The 7,630-nt window shown below is 42.2% G+C and overlaps 1 annotated feature.

Annotated features, from left to right (window-relative positions):
* Positions 5,589 to 6,181: an enhancer, noted in NCBI's record as "OCT4-NANOG hESC enhancer chr21:33126139-33126731 (GRCh37/hg19 assembly coordinates)". NCBI's record gives its function as "activates a minimal SCP1, AML or CMV promoter by ChIP-STARR-seq in naive H9 embryonic stem cells {active_cell/tissue: H9 hESC(naive)}" and the evidence as "EXISTENCE:reporter gene assay evidence [ECO:0000049][PMID:30033119]".

The following is a 7,630-nucleotide window of genomic DNA, read 5'->3' as shown; positions in this document are numbered from 1 at the left end:
ATTATAATAAAACATGTCTGAAGTAAAAAAAGAAAGAAAGAAAAAGAAAGAAGGAAAGGAAGGAAGGAGGAGAGGAGAGGAGCTTATAATCCCAGCTACTCGGGAGGCTGAGGCAGGAGAAGGAGAGGAGAGGAGAGAGGAGGGGAAGGGAGGGGAGGGAAGAGGAAGGGAGGGAAATTTGGTTTTAAAAGCCTATAAACTGGCCAGGCATGGTGGCTCACACCTGTAATCCCAACACTTTGGGAGGCCAAGGCGAGCGGATCACCTGAGGTCGGGAGTTCGAGACCAGCCTGACCAACATGGAGAAACCCCGCCTCTACTAAACATACAAAATTAGCCAGGCATGGTGGCGCATGCCTGTAGTCCCAGCTATTCGGGAGGCTGAGGCAGGAGAATCGCTTGAACCCAGGAGGCGGAGGTTGCGGTGAGCCAATATCGTGCCATTGCACTCCAGCCTGGGCAACAAGAGTGAAACTTTGTCTAAAAAAAAAAAAAATGCCTATAAGCTATCTCGATAAATCAGGATGCAGACAGGGACTGGGAACGTGACTGTCCTTTAGGTAGTAATATCTCTTTAACAAAGTGATTACTAGAGAAAAATATCCAAGGAAATATGTTTGAAAGAAAAATATTTTAATTTATACTTTGAGGCGGGAGGGAAAAAGGAGGGAGTTCTGAATGACTCTGATAAATGGACGGAGGAAGAATCAGGTATTAAATCTTTCCCAGGCTGGGATGGCAATAATGTCACTTCGCAAAAGAAGTCAATGAAAATGTCATACATAATAAGTATACAATCTGTCAATCTGAATAGTAACATACATTAAGGATTTATTAAGCAATATCATTGCATTATAAAATGATAGGAATTATGTCTAGAGGAGACAGATTCTTAGAGCAGTGAGAATTACAGGAGAATATTAGGATCATTTCAAGAAGCTTTAAAGACAAATTGCTCAAAGTGATCTGTATAGGCAGAGGCCCTGAGAAAAAGCAATTCCACTGCAAGAACTAGATGGGACAGAACTGAGGTAGCCACTGTGTCATAGATCACTTTAAAACATAAAACATCAGAACAGTAGAAATATACAATGATACAGTCCCATGCCAGGCATTTGATCTAGTCCTGTTTACGCAGCGGGGCTTGTCATGTGCTCTGAAATGTTTTCCCAGGGAAGAAATCATAATGGATTGGGTCTGGTCCATCCCAATTCTTCTCCTGGAATTTCTCATCAACTTAGGAGACAAATATCCAAGATTAAGGGGGGTGACTTGCAGTCATGACAATGTAGAAATCTGCCTGGTATAACCCAGGATCAAACTTAGAAGAAACTGCTCTCCTCTAGGAAGTATCTGTGAGGTGATGGGGGCTGGTGGGGGGACGACAGCACAAGACCTAGCGCTCCAAAACTGGCTTTGATCTGATCTCAGGGGGAAATAAATCACTCCTTTGATCGCAAGGGACAGTCTCTAATTGTAAGTCATGTTTGAGGAGGGAAATGAGCCTCTTTAAAAGAGGCAAATCCATAAGCTTCTTGGCAGGCATGGGGCTGGGCAAGAGCAATTTGCAATTGTTATAATAGTAACAGATTAATAATGATAATATTAATTGCCCCTTGTCTGTGATGTAGGTAAGGTAAGTGAATAGTTTTGCAGGGAATCATCTATATTTGTCCTTTGTTATTCAGTAGGAACAAGAAAGGAAATATTTATTGTCTTTGAATTTTTTTAAGTGTACAATTTCTTTTCTCTTGAAGACCTTAAAACTCCAAGTATTTCTCTAAAAAATATGTATCTTAGGGCTGAGTACGGTGGCTCACGTCCATAATCCCAGCACTCTGGGAGGCTGAGGCAGGCGGATCACTTGAGGTCAGGAGTTGGAGACCAGCCTGGCCCACATGGTGAAGCCCCGTCTCTACTAAAAATACAAAAATTAGCCAGGCATGATGGTGTACACCTGTAGTCCCAGCTACTCAGGAGGCTGAGGCAGGAGGATCACTTGAACCCGGGAGGCAGAGGTTGCAGTGAGCCAGGATTGTGCCACTGCACTCCAGCCTGGGTGACAGAGTGAGACTCTGTCTAAAATAAATATATATATTTGGGGCTTGGTGCGGTGACTCACACCTATAATCTCGGCACTTTGGGAGGCCAAGTTGGGCAGATCACAAGGTCAGGAGTTTGAGACCAGCCTGGCCAGTATGGTGAAACCCCGTCTCTACTAAAAATACAAAAAATTAGCTGGGCATGGTGGTGTGCGCCTGTAGTCCCAGCTACTTGAGAGGCTGAGGCAGGAGAATTCCTTGAACCCAGGAGGCGGAGGTTGCAGTGAGCCAAGATCGCACCACCGCACTCCAGCCTGGGCAACGAAAGCAAAACTCCATCTCAAAAAAAAAAAAAAAAAAGATATATATCTCTTAAACAGGGGTTGGCAAACTATTTGTGTTAAGAGCTAGATAATATTTTAGGCTTTGCAGGCCATACGTTCTTTGCTGTAACTACACAACTCTGCCAATCATAGCATATGAAAATATGTAAATGATGGCAGTGGCTGGGTTCCAATAAAACTTTATTTATGAAAGCAGATGGTGGGCTGGATTTGGCCATAATTCTGCCAACCCTGATCTAAATCCCTGTGTGAAAAGTAACAACACACTGTAATGTAAAACATTATTTCATGCATAGTAGGCAAAAACCAACTAGATCAAGATGACACAAGTATTTGAGGAGAAATACTTGAAGATGGGAATTAACCATGGTGATGATGTAGTAGCAGGGGAAGAAAAAAATATTTATATATTATTTAAAAACACTTTCGTGGTGCTTACTAAGTGCAAAGTTCTAGTCCAAACACTGCTCATTTAATTCTCAAATATTTATATATTATTTAAAAACACTTTCATAGTGCTTACTAAGTGCAAAGTTCTAGTCCAAACTCTTTGCTCATTTAATTCTCAAAAAACCCTATGCTATTATTATCCCCATTTTACAGATAAGAAAACCAAGGCATGAAGAGGCTAAGTAACTTGTCCAAGGTCACAAAGCTAGTAGTCAGGGAAAAACACAAATGTGAAATTAGACTCTCATAGAAATATTATCAGAAGACAGGATTAAAATTCTGCTTCTAACACGAACTAGCCATACAAATTGAGACACAAAGTTGTGATCATAACACTGCCCTCTTTCCCAACTACAGAGTTCCTGCATATCTCAAATGTGATTACGTATTTGAAAGTACTCTGTTACTTCTGCTCACTCTCATAAACTGTTAGTTATTAATACTCAGTTGTCTATCAAATATATGTGGAATACTAATTATGATGCCATGGGAGATGAAGATATACACCAATTGATTTGTTTTTTGTTGCTGTTGTTTTGTTTTTTGAGACATAGTTTTGCCCTGTTGCCGAGGCTGGAACGCAGTGGGGCAATCTCAGCTCACTGCAACTTCCACCTCCCAGCTCCAAGCAATTCTCCCACCTCACCCTCCTGAGTAGCTAGGATTACAGACACCCGCCATCATGCCCAGCTAATTTTTGTATTTTTAGTAGAGACAGGGGTTTCACCATGTTGGCCAGGCTGGTCTCAAACTCCTGACCTCAAGTGATCCACCCACCTCGGCCTCCCAAAGTGCTGGGATTACAAGCATGGGCCACTGTGCCCAGCCTTGTTATTTTTTTCAAATACTAAAATCAGCAACCAAAGCAGGAAACAAAGTATGTACATGAGAACTAAAATTCATTAATGATCAGTGTGACTATCTCATCCCTCCAGAACCCAGAATAATACCTGCCTCTTCTCTGCACTGGCCTTTATGATGATTTTTCACACATATGAACTAATCTGATACTAACAGAAATTGTTTTGCAGACTAGAAGCCTAAGATTGAGAAAAGCAGATTCACCTGCCTAAGGACATATCACAAACCAGCTCCCCTGACTTGCAATGCCTCAGAATAACGAAGCAGCTCAATGGGAGGGGAAGGGTGGAGAGAGACGAAAATAGGCTTATAATTTTACTTGTATAAGTATTTTCTAAACACTTAATGGTGCCTCATTTATTTGTATTATATGGAATTGAATGGTCCGTATGTTAAAAAATTTGGGGGCCGGAAGCAGTGGTTCATGCCTGTAATCCCAGCACTTTGGGATGCCAAGGTGGGCAGATTACCTGAGGTCAGGAGTTCGAGACCAGGCTGGTCAACATGGTGAAACCCCATCTCTACTAAAAATACAAAAATTTGCCGGGCGTGATGGCGGGCGCTTGTAATCCCAGCTACTCAGGAGGCTGAGGCAGGAGAATCTCTTGAACCCAGGAGGTGGGAGGTTGTAGTGAGCCAAGATCGAGCCACTGCACTCCAGCCTGGGTGACAGAGTAAGACTCTATCTCAAAAAAAGAAAAAGAAAAAGAAAAATTTGGGTAACTAAAACTTATTTCTTTTATTATACAAACTATACATTTTAATCGTTATTTCATTTAATCGATATTTATTTCCTTTCATATCAAAATTTACATTTGTTATATTGCCATTTTAGTCCAGATTCCAGCCACTCCCATCTGTCAGGACAGTAGTGATTATTATAAAGGAATACCAGTTCTGGAAGATGCCACTAGGAGCTGTAAACACAGACGATTTTATATGGAATCAAATTAGGATGCTTTCGATCACAAATACCAGAAAATCCAACTCAAACTGGCTTAAACAATGAGGAAATGTGTAGAAGTAAATCTAGTGAGTCTTGAAGGAAGGCTTCAGGGTTGGTTTAAACCAGAAGATCCAGTCTGGGTGGGGTGGCTCATGCCTGTAAATCCCCTCACTTTGGGAAGCCAAGGCAGGAGGATAGCTTAGGAGTTTGAGACCAACCTGGGCAGTAAAGCGAGAACTTACCTCTACAAAAAATTTAAAAATAAAAAAATTAGCAGAGTGTGATGGCATGCGCCATTACTCTCATTTCCTCCGGAGGCTGAGGCGGAAAGGACTGAGGCCAGAGGGTCGCTTGAGCCCAGGAGTTTGGGGCTGCAGTGAGCTACGATTGCTCCACTACACTCCAGCCTGGGCAGAGTGAGACCCTGTCTCTAAAAAAATAAAATAAAATAATACATAAATAAACCCCAGCAGATCCAGCTCAGTTCCTCTAGGATTCTCTTAGCTCTGCCCGCTGTCCTGCAGGAGCTCCATGTTGCTATCAAGATGCCTGCAGGGATCAAGTACAGAAGATACTATTGTCTTTCTCTGGCTCTCTGGAACATGAGAAACTTTTCCCCAGAATCTCCCAGAACATGTCATCTTGCATCTCATTAGACCAAAGTGTGTCAGATGCCTACTCCTGAGCTCCTGAACCAACCCCCGAGGTCAGAGGCATGCCATGTGCCTAACTAGCTTAGGTCTGATTTTCTGAATAAGTCACTGGCAAAGAGAATTGCATTATTCAACTTGGTTTGAATAAAACATGAACTACGTTTGAAGCTGAGATTAATCTTCTAAACCTTACAGTTGTTAAATGACAGAAGAAGGTGAGATGAATTGTGGAAAAGCATTTGTCATCATTTTTGGCTGAGCAACCTCTGAACCTTCTTCCTATGTTTACAATGAAAATCTGAATTTATTTCCCCAGATTATAAATTCTGCTGAAAGGCAGACTATTTCCGGCAGTTGAAACTGAAAATCCCTGTTTCACAACTCCCCAGGCTCTTCTGTTGCAAGGCTATGGATAAGTGACCTACACTTGGCTAACTAGAAACCACCACCATCCCCAAACCACCTCCAGATAGCAAATACAAATCAGTATTTATTTCCCCAGCCTATCCCCAAACCACCCCCTAGTGCACAAGGAAGTAGGGCCAGAATAGAATCCAACTGCTCTGCCTAGCAGGGGTCTTTCACCATGCTAATTGACCAAGGAATTTCTAGGACCAAGAGCATTAAGGAGCCCACTCAGACCTGATTAACAAGAGGCATGGATCGAGCCTCTGGGATAGACATTCTCAATTCAAGACCTGAATTGTATCACAGACCCAGAGGCTCTTGAATGAAAACAGACCAGGTATTCTTGATGAAGAATGTTACAATAAGATCACAGATACATACTCTAAATTAAGCCTTTGCAACCTGAGACCAGTGGGCCCCATGTGGCCCAGGTTGGCCTTGAATGCTGCCCAACACAAATTCTTAAACTTTCTTAAAACATTATGATATATATATATATATATATGTTTTTTTTTTTTTTTAGCTCATCAGCTATTGTTAGTGTTAAGTGTATTTTATGCATGGCCCAAGACAATTCTTCTTCTTCCAACGTGACCCAAGGAAGTCAAAAGATTGGACATCTCTGCTGTAAATCTTCATCCTCATCTGCCCCCAAAATCACTGCCACCATTAATCAAGGCAAATGTGTACTAGAGAAACAGAAAACCTAGATCTTTGAAGGATTATTGAAAACTGCATCCATTACTAATGCTAATTCCTATGGACCTGGAATACCACTGTTGCCCACCAGTCAGAGAAGGGATTTATGGTGAGTTAGGTAAGAAACTAAGTTTTAAGTTTGTCACTAGGCCCAAAGAGTCCCCAAATCTGTCTTTATTTCCCTGGCTCATAGGGGTATAAGTGGAACATATACATGTACCAATAGCAAATCCCCACATTGGCTCAAATGGCCAAGTGTAAACTCAAAGGGCTCTTCATGTACAAAATGGCACATCACAAGTGATACCATATCCCTCGGAGAATTTCAGAGATTAATAGACATGAAAGATCCAGAGGTGATGATTGCTATCACATTCCCTTTTAACTCTCTAGTTTGACTAGTGAAGAAAACCAGATGGGGCTTGGGGAATGACAGTGCATTATCATAAACTTAATCAGTTACATGTGCTGTTCCAGGTGGCTTCATTTGACCAAAACAGATATACAGAGACTCTGGCACTTGGTATGCATCCGTGGATTTGCCAAATATTTCTCTATTATGACACACACTAGAAGCAGAAGCAGGTTAGTTGTTCATTCATTTGTTCGTTCATTTGTTTGTTGTACCTGGCAAGGACAATAGTACATCTTTTCCTTACTTACCTCAGTATTGTTACCTCTCTGGTGCTGGGCTTAAGTTTGGTCTGTGGGAACCTGAACCATCTCAAGGGACATCAAGTTGATAGAATCTAGGGAGCTGAAGTAGCAGACACCAAGGATGCCTGGGTAAAAAAATTCACAACAATGGGTAGAAGAGAAATCTCCCAAAGCTACAGAAGATTTGGGACAGTGGATTTGGAGCAGAGGTGGGGGAAGGTGTTCAATGATCTGGGGGACTAGGGCTCTTTCTCCAAAATGAAAAGCAAGTTGCTGTGCCTGGTATGCCCTATCACTAGGACTCAGGTGCAATGTTTGTGGGCCTACACAGGATTTTAGACTTGTGCAATACATTTGAGTATGCCATCTGACTCAGTGGGTGACTCAATTGACTCTTAGCTTTGACAATGAGAAGTTCCAGAGCCGGTCCAGGCTGCACTGCGAGCAACTTGGCACTTGTGACCCAGCTGATTCAATGAGGTCTGAAGGGTCTCTGGCCAACTCGGATCCAATAAGGAGTCTGTGGCAGGCTCTGACGGGAGAAACAAAGTCAGCAACCCTGGGATTCTA

The sequence above is a fragment of the Homo sapiens genome, chromosome 21 (assembly GCF_000001405.40).
Source record: "Homo sapiens chromosome 21, GRCh38.p14 Primary Assembly".
Classification (NCBI taxonomy): Eukaryota; Metazoa; Chordata; class Mammalia; order Primates; family Hominidae; genus Homo; species Homo sapiens.
The sequence above is the reverse complement of the archived record's forward strand: the minus strand, read 5'-3'. Positions and strand labels throughout refer to the sequence as shown.